General features: G+C 46.1%; 1 protein-coding gene across 32 annotated transcripts in view, besides 1 other annotated feature; it reads right to left on the bottom strand.

Moving 5' to 3' along the window:
- PPFIBP2 (PPFIB scaffold protein 2) overlaps positions 1-16,981 on the bottom strand; it is a 153,306-nt gene that overhangs the window by 9,140 nt on the left and 127,185 nt on the right. For 16 of the 32 annotated variants that reach the window (XM_011520413.3, XM_047427750.1, XM_006718349.4 and 13 more), the window contains 11 exons: positions 16,545-16,686; positions 15,739-15,867; positions 9,628-9,778; positions 9,254-9,365; positions 8,930-9,018; positions 8,511-8,633; positions 7,200-7,325; positions 6,321-6,509; positions 4,965-5,141; positions 2,667-2,732; positions 24-1,438 (listed from right to left, as the gene is read on the bottom strand). In XM_011520413.3, coding sequence (XP_011518715.1) covers positions 1,367-1,438; positions 2,667-2,732; positions 4,965-5,141; positions 6,321-6,509; positions 7,200-7,325; positions 8,511-8,633; positions 8,930-9,018; positions 9,254-9,365; positions 9,628-9,778; positions 15,739-15,867; positions 16,545-16,686 — 1,376 coding nt within the window. In that variant the 3' untranslated portion in view covers positions 24-1,366. Of the gene's footprint in view, positions 1-23; positions 1,439-2,666; positions 2,733-4,408; positions 5,142-6,320; positions 6,510-7,199; positions 7,326-8,510; positions 8,634-8,929; positions 9,019-9,253; positions 9,366-9,627; positions 9,779-15,738; positions 15,868-16,544; positions 16,687-16,981 lie in introns of those variants that run through there. The other 16 variants (NM_001351862.2, NM_001351856.2, NM_001351855.2 and 13 more) reach the window with 5 other exon arrangements.
- Positions 6,093-7,292: an enhancer, noted in NCBI's record as "CDK7 strongly-dependent group 2 enhancer chr11:7672104-7673303 (GRCh37/hg19 assembly coordinates)". NCBI's record gives its function as "activates an origin of replication core promoter dependent on BRD2, BRD4, P300/CBP, MED14 and CDK7 cofactors, with strong dependence on CDK7, by STARR-seq in HCT116 cells {active_cell/tissue: HCT116}" and the evidence as "EXISTENCE:reporter gene assay evidence [ECO:0000049][PMID:35650434]".

The raw sequence follows: 16,981 nt of genomic DNA, 5'->3' as shown, positions 1-16,981 counted from the left end.
TATAATAAAAAAAAAATGACAACATGCTCTTTTAGGCTGCAGAAACTAATATTGGAGCATCTGTAACCTTTGGCAGAGTCTTGTTTGAAACTGGTCTGTACTCCACTACACTGTAAGCACCTTTAGGCAGGGACCTTGGCATTCATGCCTGTATCTCTAGCCCTGGCATGGAAGGTTCTTAACACACACATGCGAAGGAGTGGGTGGATGAGGAACTTAGGAGCACAGATCTCCTTGGCAACTGGAGGACTGTCTACAGGAGCCAGTGCAGAGCAGGTGCTCCAAGTTTGTGGTGAGGACGGGTATGGTAAGACGACAAGAAACTTCAAGGTGAGCTGTGCTCTGGCTCAAGGGCAGACACGGCACTGTGGGAGAGCTACCTGTAACTGGATCATGCGGGAAGGCTTCCTGAGAGATGGTCTCTTTGCCGTGCCTTGAGAGACAGGATTTTCCCTCATGAAGGGGACTAGGAGAAAAATGCATTCCCTAGTGAGGGAAGGGCCTGAGCAGACGCCTGGAGGGAGGAAGGACTAAAGAGTGGAGAGGAAACAGACATGTTTGGGAAGTTGGTGAGTTGGGGTGGAAACACGGAGCTTGAGGTGCTCAAGGGCCTTCCACTTGGGGGAGCTATTTAATCAGACATTACGCCTGAGCTGCTCCAAGGGCAAGGCCTGGGAGGAGGCTGTGTGTCAGCTTGGGTGGAGGCAGAAGGCAGGGTGTGCACGTGTTGGGGACGCCTCTGCTCCAAGCTGGGAGTCGCACAGATACCCCTTGCAGATGACGGGAGATAGAGTCAGGCAGTGCTGTGGGTAAGGAGCCTCGTTGCTTTACCCGCTCATACCCTAAACACCTGCCTTGCCCAGCCACAGTCCCAAGAATGGAAAAAGCACGTTCTGTGAAGCAGCCCCGGAGGGACCTCCTGGTGACCATTTCACAAAACACAGTCTCTACAGAACATTCAAAACAGTTTTTCGGAACTTTTTTTCCAGCAGGTTTTATGAACTAACAGCTCTTCCCCTCGAGTGTGAGAGCCTCCAGGCTGTCACCAGGAATATCACGAGCCATCGAGTCTGTGTGCTGATATGTCACTGCCCTCCCACAAAGTGGTCTGCAGTCCACGTATAAAAGTACAAAAGGTATGAAGCCTGCGGTGAAGAGCGCAGCATGGTTGAAGACACACATGGACCCTGGGGCCACCCCTGGACACCTGTCCCACAGCTCTGCTTCATGCCTGTCAGCAGCCTGTCTGAGACACCCTGCCAGCCCGGACTGGGCTTGCAGAGGGGGCTGTGTGCCCGCTCCCCACAGAAGCAAAGGCTCCGGGGCCCCCACACATGCCTCCCTACGCTCTCAGCCACGAAGAAAGTCATCTCCAGTCATCAGAGTTGGGGGCAGGCAGGCGAGAGTCATTCAGCAGCTGGTCCTGGCTCAGCATTGTCTGAAAAGGACACAGCCGAAGGGTCAGTTTAATAGAGTTTTGGTCCAGGCTGCCCTGCGGCAGCTGCACCGGAACTAGAGGGCACTGGGTGAGGGCTGCATCTGACACAGGTGCACTATAAGTTTATAGTGTCCCAAGAAACCCTGAGTATTGGGTCAGAATAAACAACACTATTAAGATAAAAATAAATTGTTCATCTTAGAAATAAATTTTCTATTTTCAGGCCACCAAAGGCCTAGATCATAAGGGCAAGTGTGGGCAGATTCCTTTCATGGGTGGGCCAATAAATAAAAACGTTGAGTAAAACTGATCCTGTTTGGAGTCAGGGAGACTTTCCTGTTTTGTCCTTGAAAACAAGGAGAGTCGTGTGTCCCTGTCCTTGTCCTGTCATCCCAATGGGCCTTGCTAGACAAGCAAGCAAAGTACAGGGACAGGGGCCTCGATGGGGACAGACACTATAGCCAATAGGCTCAGTGATGGAATGTCCAAGAACTAAAAGGCCTTGGGAGTGATGGATCCTCAAAAACAAATCCTGTGCTCTGTGGCTGGCCTTTTCCTGCCAGCTCTAGTCTGCCTATAAGCCTGGCAAGGAGGATGTCATTAGCCCTGCTTTACAGATAACTAAGCCAAAGCTCAGGAGAGAATGACATCCAAGGTCACAGAGCTAGTGAAGTCAGAGCAGGGACTTCAGCCTCACTCCAAAGCTGCTTTTCGAGGCCAAACTGCTTCCCCATGATATGGTTTGTCCTTTCGGGCGTGCCAGGATGTGCTCACAAGCCTGTCAACACTCTGTGATACCCACAAAGTCAGAGGCACGATAGGAAATGCATATGTCTCTGGGCAGAGGGTGGAAGTGTCCACTAGGACAGGATGCAGCCTGGGCTCTAGGCTGATGAGACAGGTGATCTAGAGTTGCTGAGCATCTTGGTTTCCTCATCTCTAAGCCTGGGAAGAGGACCTGAGATCTAGTGTGCTTTAGCTGGCTTTGGCTAACAGCCGATGAGCCTCCCCACTGCCCTTAGGGGCTCAAGGTCCAGTAACAGGCCAACAGAGAAGGCCCCTGGGCTGCTTTCTGCCTCGTGGCTGGCTCAGGCTCAGGCTGTGACCCCAGCACTAAGCACCATTCTTCGCCGTCCCCCAGGCCTTGTGCATACCACACCACACCACACCAAACTCACTGGGCCTCCCTGGCACCAGTCTGACTGTGGGGAGAGGGTCAGAGTCCTACCGTAAGGCGGTGAATGTCTTGGGAGAGGAGCCCTATCTGCGTCACGGTACCTTCCGAAGGTGCCATCTGTAAAATGGGCAGCAGCCTGGTCAGCACACATGGATGCAGCTTGTGATTCAGAGAGATGGCATGCAAGTCCTGTCGTGCTCAAGCCTGGCTTCTCCAGGGCATGCTTCTCTGGAGGGACAGGCAAGGAGTGGGCCAGGCCCTGAGGAGTGACAGGTGGGTGGAGCACATGCTGCTCCTGTTTCCTGGGGAAAGGCATCAATGTCCCACACTGCATGCATACCTCTCCTGGGGCCCCACTGGGAACTGGCATTCAGGGTACACAGAGGCAAGACACAAGCTTGTCAGAAGCAGCCCTTCTGCACGTGTTCAATGTTCCAGCTATTTCCAGGAGCAGAGAGCAGTAGGAATGAAGGCCTTCAGGATGCTAGACTCCTGCTACCAGGCAACAGGAGCTCAGACACCAATGCCCTGACATAGGTGGGCATCCTTCCTCACTACTCAAGAGCCTCCCTCCTGCCCCTCCTTCTCAGGTAATGCTGGTCTCTTCCTCCTTCCCTAAACCTACTTAGACACTGTAGATTTGGAAACATCCTCTGTAAATTTGGAGGGCACCAAGTGTAACCCCTCCCTTGTTTTATAGGTAGGAAAACAAGCCCACAAAGGGAACAGGACTTACTTGAGGGTGCAGAGAATCAGTGGCACAACAGTTCCATGCAGGTTTTGAAAACAGGCACATGCAGAGATCCCTGTACCGCAACATAAGAAACAAGGGACAAAGCCTGCCCTGACTGGCTCTACAACTCCAGTGGCCAGGCATCAGCCTGAATGAGCACTTGTCATCCAGTGGACCTGGGTACCAGGATCTATCAGCAGCATTGCCAGCTGGCAAGCTTGTCCCCACATCTCTCACCTCCCAGGAGGCAGTGGCCTGTGGCAACAGACCATGCCTGAGGCTGCTGGTAGTTTAAGAAGCAAATCTTAGCATAGCCTCCATCTGGTACAGAATCAGAGTGCTACAATGGAATGGAGTCATCAGGCCGTGCCCAGGCCATCAGACAGCGGTGACGTGGTGTTACTCTTCTGCGATGAGGCCCAGGGGATTGAGGGGAGCCAAGCACTGCCTGGGGGCAAACTAGAGTCTTCTGACCAGGAGTCCAGACTGGCAAGGCACATCTCTACCTCAGTCCCAGCCAGACAAGGCCCATCTGGAGGAGCCATTATCAGTCATTATCAGTCAGTCAGCCTCTAAATCAAGGGGACAGATCTCTTTCAGTTCTGCCAGCAGACAGACCAGCCCCCACCATGGTTATGAGCCTAGCTAAGTCAGTAATAGAGAAGCCAGCAAAACACATGAAAGAGAGTCTTTCCAGCAAGGTGCCTTCTTGTCTCCCCACCATCCCCTTCACTGGGGGGGCTCATGCCACTGAAAGCACTCAGCTTTGAGGTCTGCACGACAGATGGACCCTATGGTCAGGATGTGCATGAGACTTGAAGCCCCCTCGGCTTCACAGAGGGAAGCAAATTCTGAAGCAGTGCGGCCACGGACCTCCTCTGAAGGCTATGGGAGGGGGTCCCGCCTTGCTCTACCCCCCTGGTGAATCCTGAGCATGCACCTGGCTGAGGACTAGGCTCAGTGCCACCGGCTCTTCAGCTCTGCAATCCGTAGGACTCCATTTCCAGCTACCCTCAGCTCTTTTTCCCCAACAAAGTTAAAGATATGGTGAGCTGCTTGCTTTCCGCATAAATATTGCTTTTATTACAAGAAAGAAGAGACCACCTCTGAAGTAAGGCACAACACAATTCCATTGTCACTGTGGCAGAAGTCCCTGTTGCTCATCCCTTTGATCTCAGCCAAGACTGTGGTCCACGGGCCTAAGGCACTTGAGCTTTTCCCTCAACTGAAGTGTAGGGGGTGCCTGAGAGCTGAGCCTCGTGGGAGTGTCCATGGTCTCTGGACCTGCATCGAAGTTCATGTGTTTCCACTGGTGCTGAAGATGAACATCAAGAATTACTAGACATGTAAAAGTGTCTTTAAGTGTCTTTCCTCCTGAGTCCACCTTTGGCAATGGTCCCCAAAGCCTGGCCCCTTAGAGATGCAGCTCCAGATCCTGGCCACCCTCAGGGTTCAAAGAGACTGGCCCAGGGGTACACAATTGCTGGAATATTCTCTGCGAGTCATGCACACGTGCGGGGGTGAGGTGCAGTTATATGGTGACACACACAGTGTTACTGTGAGCTCTCAGGGTGCACAGAGGGCAGGTGACAAGGGCATCAGCTAATCTGTCCCACCTGGTCCAGCCCATCCAGTTCAGGGGCATCAAGGGGGCTGAGGCCCCGGTAGCCACTGTAGACCCTGTGACTATCACTGACACCGTCACTGGGCTCCATTGGGCAAATGTAGTCCGTCGATTCATCGAACTTCTTTTTTCTTATGTTTCCGAAGTGTGAAAATCCTAGTTTCCTTGGCTAAAACACAGAAAATGCAAGATTATGAGAAGGCAATCAAGGCAGTGTGCAGGTATGACTGACAATATACTTAAAATTTAAGAGCAGGCACTCAAGGAGAGGAATAATGTAAACTGCTCCTAGAAAGACTCTGAACAAAACAGAGCTCTTGGAAGCAATTTCTATGCTGCAGAAAGGCCAATAGGTAAATAATCTTGAACAATAAGAGCTGCCCCTCCAATACTATGCCTGAAACTCATGCCTGGCTGCCCCACCAAAGTGACTTTCTTATTTCCATAGATGAACTGGGAGTTCCTTTAGAATGTACTTGAGGTCTGCATTTGAGGCGAAGCACAGAGAACTTGCCTCAGCACAGCTGCTGGCACCCCAACCCTTTCCCATCTCAGCACCTGGCACCATCTAAAGGCGCGTAGGATAGCCCCAGGTTGCTCCCTGCCCTAGCGTCATCCAGCACTGTTTCTGCCTGACTCCCCCAGACATACTTCCTGTCTTGCTCCCCTGGGGAAGGAGGTCTGTGCCTGAGTTGTAGCTGGGCATGAAGCATCAACACTACCAGGGATAGGACCAGCCTGGCCTCCAGAGGTTGCCTGTTGGTCTGTAGTCTGGGAAGAATGTGGTCTGAGGATGCTGTGGCTCAGGCAGGTCTAAAGGGCTTTGTGGGATTCTGGGAGCCCCAGTGAGTAGTGTTGGTGCTTGAAAGACCTGGGGACCTCTGGGTATCTGTGTGCTGGCCACTTCACGAAACAAGACAAATGGAACCAGCTTCCATTGGAAGCACTTCCTATATCAGCAGGACAGCTTTGACCAAGATCCCACGGCATTGCGGCACGCAGGCAGGCCTGACCGAAGGAAAGCCAGACTCGGAGCGCTTCCGCTCTGCAAGGTGAGTCACAGCAGCAGTGGGGTAGAGGACGAGCTCTAAGCCACCTGAGGATAGGTGCTTCCTGCACATATTTTCTAGGTAAAGAAACCTGCACTGTCTTCCTTGGACTCCAAACTGGTGGAGAACTGGCTTAACAAAGACTGGCCTCACAGACCACAAGCCCACAGCAGAAGCTGAAAGATCCTCTTTGTCCAGGCTGCGCATGCTGCTCTGGCTGTGGGCATCGCGCCAGGTGCTGTGCTGCGTGAGGGCCAGGAGGCAGCCCAGGGCCCACCCAGAAAGGCTCTGCAACTCACCCGGACTTTGGCTGTGGTGGTCAGTGGTGTGTAAGCTGGTGAGGCCATTTTCTCTCGCTTCTCCTGTTCAGCCTCCGGACCAATCAAGGCATTGAACTTGGTGGTCAGGTGGCGCCTGAGGAGCGTCTTTTGTGGGGGGATGTTGAGAAGCATAGCCAGGGTGTCCCCAGTGAAGCGTGGCTCCAGGATCTAAGAAGGAACCAGAGACAAGCCTGGCCAGGAGCAAATACAAATGGCTCGAGGGGGAGGATGCTGAGAGACTGGCCTGTTGGGGCTGGGGGTGCCTCCAGAGGAGGGACAGGAGCTCAGTCACTTGTTCTGAGTCCCACTCCACTCACTGGCTGGCACAGGGCCTGGCTCTGAGCACATACTAGCACATGTGCTGACTGACCACCTTGTTTTCACAGACCAGCAGAGAACTGGGACCTCTTTGGTGAGGCTGTCTCTCAGGATCTTCTCTGGATGACATCCAAGCCACCACACTTCCTCATTTCCCCTCTGGCTTTGCCACTGACAGATCTGAGTAGTGATAGGGATCCTATTGCAGCAAGTGGGAAGCTGCATTTTTACGGCTTCCCCGTCCCTTCCTCAGCCCTGCTGTTCCCTCGCCTTGTAAGCGTTGGTCTCCATGCAACCCATCGACCTAGAATCCTCAAGTCTCATGCCAAGGAGGTGCTGCCAGAAGGCATCTTGCTTCCATGAGGTATATTAATTCTCAAGGACAAGTTATCAAAATACTTTGAGACATCAAATTATGCAAGACCTCCAGATGAAGTACCTATTTTTTTTCGTTAGCTTTTGTGCCTTGTCCTTAATAAATAAGTTTCTGAATATCCCATTTGCACCAAGGCAGGTGGGCTAGGCCAGAGAGCCACTCACAATGAGGCCTCCATGGACTCCACTCCCTCGAAGATTGGGTGCATACTCTGCCAGGTCCACAGATCGTAACCACTCCATCACCCTGTGGTTGGACCACTGTACAACTTCTGAAGGAGAAAGGTTACTCTGTCAGAGGGAGAAGGAGAGTGAGGAAGTTAGGCTTAATAGGTCCCACCATGGTCCTCTGTGGAGTCAGCCCCGGTAAGTAACCCTGCCCCAGACGCATCACAACAATAGAAGGCCCTCAAGCTTAGTGACCCACCCCATCTGCCAGAGCACCAGCCTCCCCAGTTTCTAGGAAATAGAGCTCCCACTGAATCTTTGAAGATCTTCCACACTGAGATATCTGAATCCAGAATTCTGTTACTCCATCATTTTCCAGCTAACTTTGAGACAAATAAATGAGGACATTATAGTTATTCTTTCAGTGATTCAACAGAACTTTAAAGATGACTGTCAATTTTACAATCCAAGTGGTTTATAGATGAAAGATCTCCCTGGTGTGGCCAATGATTTTAGGGGAGCACACCTTAAGGTACTTATTCCTAAGTGCTCTCACGTAGCACTGTGGTCTTAAAAATGCACAGCGCTGTGCCTGACATATACAAGACATTCAAAACATGTTGGTTGAATAAGGAGAAAATAGGAGATAGACAGCAAAGGTAGCAGCCCAGGAAGCTGAGTTAATTTTACAGCAAGGTTAGACCTAGTTCCCAGGAACAGAGGAGATAGGATGTGACTGACAATCTTCAGTTTGGGGGTCCACCAAGAACTCCGAAGTTCATGGAACATAATCAGTTATTTCTTCAAGACTTGGGGTGCTGTTATTTACGTATACTATTTCTTCTCTAGCAAGACTACTCATGGATCCCCTGTACCTGGGCCTGGAAGTCAGTTAATTTTGGATCTACAAGTAGGGATACCTATTCTGAAATGTCTAGCTTCTACGGGCTCCTCTTCCCCCTCCTCTGTCTCTTCTCTTCTCTTCTACTGTGACACCCATCTTTCCATTTTGTCTTTCCCTCCCCCTCTCCTTTGCACCATCTCCTCATCTCCTTTAATCACTATGATGACTTTATAGCATGTGTCTCCCCAGTGGAGGGTGGGAGCTTAGAGGTCTATGGCTACTGTGAGACACAAAGTGCAGGTAACGGATGTTTGGGGCAACAGGAAGCACAAGCAAACAAAAGAATCCCAGGCACCATGGTGCAAAAAACAGTGCTTTTATGATGTCATTCTTGTTTGCTCATGCTCGATGTTTCAGGGGTCCTGGCTCAGGGCTACCTGGAGAGATACTATTTGTGGTCTCACCTCATCAGCTGGCCGCCGGTGCAGGCAGTGGGGGTTGAACTTGTTGACATGCAGCACGTGAATGGCACATTTGATGCTGAGATGATGTAGTTGGCTGGTGACTTTTAAGAAGAGTAAATCGTTCTGAAAGAGGAAAGTTTGGTTTATAAACCAGAGTTTCCAAAGTGACAAAAGACCCCTGATGTCCCTCACCAGACCAAGCATAGACAAGTCAACCACATCTCAGGAAGGTGCACGTGGAGACACCAATAGCTTATCACAGTGGTTTGTACTCTGCTACTTGGGACCTCTTTTGTGACAAATGATACTATTTCAAGGCCTTAAGAATATATGGAATCAAGTTTAAAATAACCACCATGGGTACACGTGAGCTGAGTGCTCACAGGGACAACTGAAATATTTAAAGAAAAAGTCCTCACCACAGTTAGGTATTGCAGCATTCGTCTGTCAACTCTAGATTCATGAAACTGGTCTTTGTACTGGGGTAAGCCAATATCATCAAGCCACCCTACAAATACAAAAACCCCAGATGTGTCAGGATTCATGAGAATGAGAGAATGTAGACACCAAAAAAAGGGGAGCAAATTATATTTTGAGGTTCGTTTTATTCCCCCAAAAGTTTAGTAATTCCTCTGCTTTTTACAAGGAGACAGCTGTCCTTGAGGTACCCATTTAACAGGAAAATTCTTTCTACTCTTAGTTGCTGCCAGAGACATTCTTAATACATATATGCCTATCCTTACTTGTCACCCAAATGTGGTCTAGCAGTGCAGACTTCTCCTCCTGTTTGGTGTTGATGGCTTTCACTGCTAAAACAAGCTTCTTCCTGTGGAGTGGGTGCTTAATTCCTAGCTCCTGAAATTAAAAGATGAAGACCACATGTGAAATTTTGGCAGGCAATTTGGCCCTCAGAGAAAGCTGTGTCTGGGTGGAGATGCTCTGAGTATGGCAGTGTATCTCCACACCGTGCCCTGGGATGCCAACCTGCAGCTACAGAGGAACTCTCAGCCTCCTCCATCCATCCTCCTGTGTGTATGTGTGACAGGAGTGGCGGACCCTGGCCTCCCCATGCTTTGGGGAGAAATGGGAGCCTCCTCTCCCCAAGCTGAGCCCTTACCTTTTCCATGTCCTGAGGGGTGGCTGTCAATAAGGTGTGGCCAGAAGATACCCACTGCCTGGCAAAGATCACATACTGAGCCAGGCCAAAGTCCTCCAGCCATGCACACACACGCTCTGTGCTCCACTGGGCAAAGGGGGCATTGGCGTCACTGGGAAGCAGGAAAACAGCATATTCCTGTTAGTGGGAGAGCCTGAGGTTCTGAATCTAATCATGTCTCACAAACAAAAGAAAAGAAAAGAAAAAACAAAACAAAAAACCTGTTTTTTAACAAACAACCTCCATCATGGGATTCTGCTGAACAAAATTCCACTACAACACACTCATAGGAGGTAGACCCTAGAGTTTTCTTAATAACACAAGATCTGAATTTCAAATCTCAGGCTACTTAGAGAATGGGGCAGCCTGTATGGCCCTCCTGAGATCATGTTCACATGTCCTAGGTCCGCATACACACATATACATGCCACAAGTCCAGAGCTGTGGCCTCATTAGGCGGAATCATCTTTTTAGGAAAATGCTTAGAAAACTACTTTTCTTAGCATTTAAGAGGGTCAGTTCTCTTAACATTAAAAAGAAAAAAAACAAAACACCCAAAACTAAAAGCAAAAACTTGCCAATCAACAACAGCTAGCACATTACTTATTAACAAAACAGGAGGAACATTCACATTAAAGTCAATAAAAGGACAATATATTTTTCATCAGTACTAACAACACTGGTCTGAGAGTCATAGCCAGTATTAGAGATAAATAAGAACAAGAAGTATAGCTATTAGGCAGAAATAAAGCCATTCTTTACAGATGTCAGGACTGCCCATTTAGAAAACCCAAGAAAGCTCAGTGAGGTGGCCACTTACGAAATACACATATAAACATATGTAACGTATGTTACATACAAAGATCAATAATTTTCTAATACCATCAATGCACAGATACTAATGCTACTGTTAAAACAATTTAAAAATCCCACTCATAGCAACCAACATTATAAAACGTCTAGGAATTGCCTTAACAAGAGATGTTTGGCCTTGTGTGATTATGTGTGGGGATTGCGGGGGTGGGGAGAGGTATTGACTGCAGCAGTCAACTGAGCTAGATAAAAAAGGACATGAATAAATGAAAAGCTAGATTATGTTCCTAGACAGGATGACTGGGTTTTATAAAGCCATCAATTCTTAAAGACATCCATTTTTCATTTAAAGTGTGAATAGCACACTAAAAATCCCAATAGAGTCATTTTTTTAGGGGGGATTCGACAGAGCAACTTTATGTTCATAAATGAGGATTTATAGAATATCGTAGATATTCCTTCAAAGACCAGAAAGATTCCTTCAAAGTACCCCTAACATATTAGATTAAAACATATTTTTTTAAATGCCTGGTTGAGCTGTTGTTAAAGTGAGGGAATTCCTCAAAGGATAAGCATGATAAGAATGCCCCATTTTAGATCAAATGTTAGAGATAATGTATACCCTGGGGCAGGGACTGATCAATCATAATCTGGAACCTGGGCTTTCATGGGTCCTGAAAATATTTTACGAGGCCTGGAACTTACAAACTTTCTCTTCAAAATAGTATAAAATTTGAATATACAATTAGAAACAAAGGGAATATTTAGAATTAGAAAACAAGCCACAAAAAATTGCAAGTTTTGCAAAACTGAAAAAAAAATCACAAAATCTAGAAATATTTCATTATATAAAATCTTGATGTACCTCTATAGTTTGATTCTTTTTTGAGACAGGGTATTTGTTATTTCAGAGATGGGGTATTTATTTTAGAGACAGGGTGTTAGTAATTAATTATTTTTAGAGATGGGGTCTGGCTTTGCTGCCCAGGCTGGAGTGTAGTGATGTAATTACAGCTTATTACAGCCTTGAGCTCCTGGGCTCAAGCAATCCTCCTGCCTCAGCCTCCCAAGTAGCTGGGACTACAGGTCTGAGCTACTGTATCCAGCTATAGTACTTCTTTACTCTTGTATTTTGGGTGGATACTCTTTGACTGCTTCTTTGTATGTCCACAACTTTATAATATATTCTATGACAACAGACGGTTGATTTAGTCTTTCTTCTAGCATGACTGATCAATATTTATCTTCTATGACAATAGTTAAGAAGTTTTATCTTCACAATTTATAACTGGTATTGTCACGTACATTTTTAGAATCATTTAAATTTAGAAAGGCCTCTATCAAATGTCTTTTATATGTGAGTTGTAAAACTATAACGCATTCAAGTTTTCTAACGCTATGGCTAATCTTAAACATTCTTTGAATTGACAAAGTTCATTTAACTCATGTGTTGTCTATGTCCTTGCGGCAGTACATGAGTTTTATGTTATCTTTGTCACTGTCAGTACATCATGTAAACTCAGCAAGAAATTTCAACCTTTTCCCAATGGATTCATATCATTCATCTTATATGAACAACAATCTAGAGGGCTACTCACTCCTTTTGTTTAAACCTTACCTCTTGCTCTTAGCAAATTACTGCTTTTGGTGTGATCTGGATTTTTTGTTTATAATTTGTTTTTTAATGTAAGAAAGAATAATTTCTCTCAAATTTCAATGCTCATTTTATCACTTTTGTTTTATATTATATTTGGTTTTTATTTCATTTGTTTCCTTGTTTCTTGGAAGTGGGAAAAACAAACATATCTGAGGGACATTTCAGTTCTTTTTTAAATTTTTTAACTTTTATTTTTTGCCTAGTCTTTGTGAACCTAACATTTCAGCTCTAAAGGGGAAATAAGTGTTTTTGAGATCATAATTGGAAAACCTCTGTGCTATCGACCTTTTCAAAACCACCTAGAGCTCTGGGCATCATCTCCAGTAGTCTTCCCATTTTTTGTTTTGCGAATCCTCTCCTCCCTCCTAAGCCTTGAGGTGTTCACACAGAATCAGACCCAGCTTCTGCACCTCCTCCTCAGCTCCTCTCAGTGCCAGCATCTCCCATATCCTCAGCCAGGGCACCACTGAACACGCTGGGAAATAATTTGGAGATGACAGAGAAGATACCCTTCATATACAGCCAAACCATTTGTTTTGTTGACACATTCCAAAACATCCTTTCAAATTGCAGTTCAAATGATGTAGCTGAGATTTCTCAAATATGCTCTTCTCACAGTAGGGGGAGAGCACATGGCACATTTATAATTTACAGTTCATTAGTGAGTACAGAGCACTGAGCGAATCGGCACAATGGGAAGTAGAAGAAATCCTGGAAGCCATTTGTGCAGTAGGAAAGCTAGTGAATTAAACCTAACAAAACTAAACATGCAGTGACTGCAAACCACATGCACACACATACCCCCCTAAACCCAAACTACATGGATCCCCAGGTCAACTTCCCCTTAGCAAGTCCTCCAAAACCCCCACAGCTGCCCTAACACCATCTGTTACAAGGAAAAGTATAGACCAAGGGAAAGTTGCAGTAAAAATAGTCAGCAGTCTTAAAACTGGTTGTGTTTAAAATACCTTTTTTTTTTTTTTTTTTTTTTTTTTTTTTTTTGAGACGGAGTCTTGCTCTGTCGCCCAGGCTGGAGTGCAGTGGCGGGATCTCGGCTCACTGCAAGCTCCGCCTCCCGGGTTCACGCCATTCTCCTGCCTCAGCCTCCCGAGTAGCTGGGACTACAGGCGCCCGCCACCACGCCCGGCTAATTTTTTGTATTTTTAGTAGAGACGGGGTTTCACCGTTTTAGCCGGGATGGTCTCGATCTCCTGACCTCGTGATCCGCCCGCCTCGGCCTCCCAAAGTGCTGGGATTACAGGCGTGAGCCACCGCGCCCGGCCTAAAATACCTTTTTTAGGCAAAATTTTCAAAACACCTGGCCCTGTTAACACTATGATCAGACTTTCTCTGGACCCTGGAAGGGCTCCATACAAAGGAGGGTCCCTGAAGCTTAAGCATCTTTACATTCATGATGAATCTGACTCACCATGCGTGTAGGAAAAGGAAACAAAATGGGGCCCAGGGTAGGGGAGCAGTAGGATTGGGGACCTCTCCTAAAGCTGGAGTCCTGAAGGGCAATACAGTCAGTAGATCAACTCAGGAAAAAAACACTCCGCAAAGGTGGGATCCAGCCATGTGGCTCTAGAGCCTGTTTGCCTTAAACATTATACTTTACTGCCTTTTTCTCAAAAATAGTAACTCATAATAAACTCACAAACTATAATAATTCCTAAATGGATTATTCAAAGTTTTTAAAAATCACAGAAAAAAATTTAAAACAAAATGATGAAAGAATTCACAAAGTGGATGAACCTAATTCTATATAAACATAAAAATTCCATGTATCAAAGTATCAGAAGCAAAAGTAAAATTCTGCTACAAACCTAAAAATACTTTGTCACAATTACTAGACATGACTTAATATCTTAATAGAGAACAGTTAGAAATCTATAAGAAATACAATAATAATAATGAACAAAAATGCAGATAATTCACAAAAGAATTAAAAGGACAAACATGAAAACTAAATTACCAATAAAAAGGAAATTTGGAGGTTCATAAAAGTAGAAAACTTTGAAAAAGAAAAATTTAACTACTCAATGCTGACAAGGATGTGGGTGTAATAGGCGCACTCTGTCCAGCAGTGCTGACTGGAATGTAACTCTGTAAAACTTTACCTGGGAGAAGAAAGAAAATAAAATGTGTTCATCCATAATCTGAGAGAGAGTGCCTACACAATGTTATCAAATATCATATTTAAAAAAAAATCAATTGTTTTATTGAACAAAAAAAGGTTGGGGCTGGAGGCTTTCAGTATCAAAGTACTTTTCCTAAAGAATACTAGCAACAACAGTTTTAAAGCTACACCTAAATATTAATATCTAGAAATTATAAATATCACCAGAGGACATTAACATATATCAATTTCTAGTTAAGAGTCACAAGGCCTTTCTTTTCCACGAGCAAATTCATTTTGCACCATTACGATAAACATAACAATCTCATCAGGACTTCTTCATACGTCTTCCCTTTCTCATCCACTGTTACGGTTCATAAAGCACAAAGACATTTGAACAAAGCAGCCTGTGGCTGGAACTGCAGTTTTTTCCTTTGGCAAAGAAAGCTACTGACCCTGGTCACCCCATACCCTAAAGTGACTGTCAGAATACAGATAGCTCCCTAACCATGCTCTCCTACTCTAGGGACAATGCTGAGGGGTCTTAGGAAAGTTTTTATACCCTGACCCAATGATTCCCCTTCTAGAGTCAATCCTTCAAGAACTAGCCAGAATTAAAACAAAGATCAATCATTCAAGCTTACTATAGCTTGATTTTTTTTCAGCTCAGATAAATCAGAAACAACAGTAATGTCTACATTGAGAAAATTGCCAAGTAAATTAGAATATCTAATTATTGAATATACAGGTAAAGCTTTCCCTGGCTCACTTTCTAAGGGCTCTGAATTGGTCTCTGACTTACTTAGACTATGTCCTTAGATTCTCTAGCCTCTAAAAGCTAATGGTCTACACATTCTCATGCTTCTTTTCAAGCTTCCTGGAGTCTGGGGATACTCATCGAAGAATAAATGGATCTGGAAAGGTCCCAGGTCTCATGCACGAGGAGGACCTGGTAAGACTAGAAACCTGTTTGGCAAGCCAGGGAAGTGCAGTATCATATCCATGTGCAAAATAAGCTAAGACTCCCTTCCGCAGGGGATGCAGGTCTGCAAACAATATGATGCATTTAGGGAAATGCTTTTCTTCCTTAATTGGAATCTAGACTATATTATTTCTGAGAACGGACATCTGAATGATACATATCATAACCAGTAATTACCTGTACTCTGCATTGGTATATGGCAATCTTGAGGTGACTAAACTGAAGAGAGTTACAGCTTACTTTTTGCCTTTTGGTTAGATATAAAATGTCACATTCCAATCCTGTGGAAGACCTCCAGGAGTACTGATCTTGGCTGAGTAACTCAGAACTTAGGAGATATTGTGCTGGAAATGACGTACTGTAGGGACTGCTTGACTGGGGAAGAGAATATGGAAAGGGGTTTCCGCAAAACACAGGAGTAAAGATTCACCCATGCAGGTTTGAAGGGAGATACTTCTTTTTCAGAGCAGGGAGATCAAAGGAAAGTGGGTCAAGCCTTACCTTTTCTGTCCCTTGGAGTCCCTGGTCCTAGAGAGTCTTGGCCCTGCGGTTGCCCGGAGCCCACCTCGTCGAAACTCTGCCATCCCCAGCGTGTCAGTGTAGAAATTTCCTGACTGAGTTCTTCGGATTCTGCATGGAGAAGAATCCATGGAGACGGTCATGGAATAGTCAGAAAGCCTACAGTCACTGTGCTTCCTCTTTTGCAAGGCCATGCAGGCCAGCACAGGGACTCTCGGCAGCACTGCTTCTCCGTACCTTCCCAGAGATCAAGGATCACAACCTGTCGCAGCTCCTTGGCCAGACTCAAGCCTCAATTCGGATCCTGCCTCTGGGATTTGGTCACTTGCCATAGAAGTCAAAGCAAAGTTTGATGCCTTGTAGGAGGCCCCAGTTTCTGCCTCATGTCACAAAGTGGATCAGTTGGGCCAGCAAGTACTTGGCTTTCAAAGGTTTTTCAAAGATTTCTTAAAACAGACTGACTCCTAAGAAGGGAGAATACAGTCTCATCTGTGTCTGTGCCAGATCCAATGTAATATAAGCTGCAGAGATTATGTTCAGGGTGTGTGGAATGGGTGGGTGCTTAGGATGCATGACATGAAAGGCAACTGGATATATTCAATGGGTGTCTTTCATACTTCTCCTTCTCTTGGCCCTGGAAAATATCTCAGATTCTTCTCTTTGAACATGAACACTCTGTTTTGACTGCTGTTTCAGTGTCTATTGGACCAGGGGCTTACATAGACTCTTTGCCCAATCAAAAAGAAAAATTCTAAGCAATATAATTAGGATCAACGGCACCAACTTACTTTCCCCAGAACTTCTTAATGCCTTTGGGATTCCGTTTACCATCTGGTGTCAGAGGAGACTGAGGACCTGATTCAGTGCCCGATGATGTGGATGAGAGGTCATTGACCACAGCAGTGTCGTCCCAGCCACTTTCTGTGTCTCCTGAGATTGGAAGAAGGCAATGAATGTGAATGTAAGGATGTGACCCCTGGAACCCTTCTTCCCCAAGCCTGGGCCCTCCCCTTCAGTGGGAGTCCAGAGAATCTGCCCAGTTCTGCCTTCAGGGCAGAACTCCATACCAAGATCCCAGAGACTAGTGGGGACTCCAGGCTTCCTTGCTGAGAAATTAGTGTGCTCAATATTTCAAATCTAGGTGAGCTAATGTCTTTAATTTTAAGGATTTGGGGTCCAAAGTACTTGTGGATTATTCCAACAAGCAGCTTCTTTTTCCTCAGAG

The sequence above is a fragment of the Homo sapiens genome, chromosome 11 (assembly GCF_000001405.40).
Source record: "Homo sapiens chromosome 11, GRCh38.p14 Primary Assembly".
In the NCBI taxonomy this organism is placed as follows: domain Eukaryota; kingdom Metazoa; phylum Chordata; class Mammalia; order Primates; family Hominidae; genus Homo; species Homo sapiens.
This window is presented reverse-complemented; position numbering and strand designations above follow the sequence as displayed.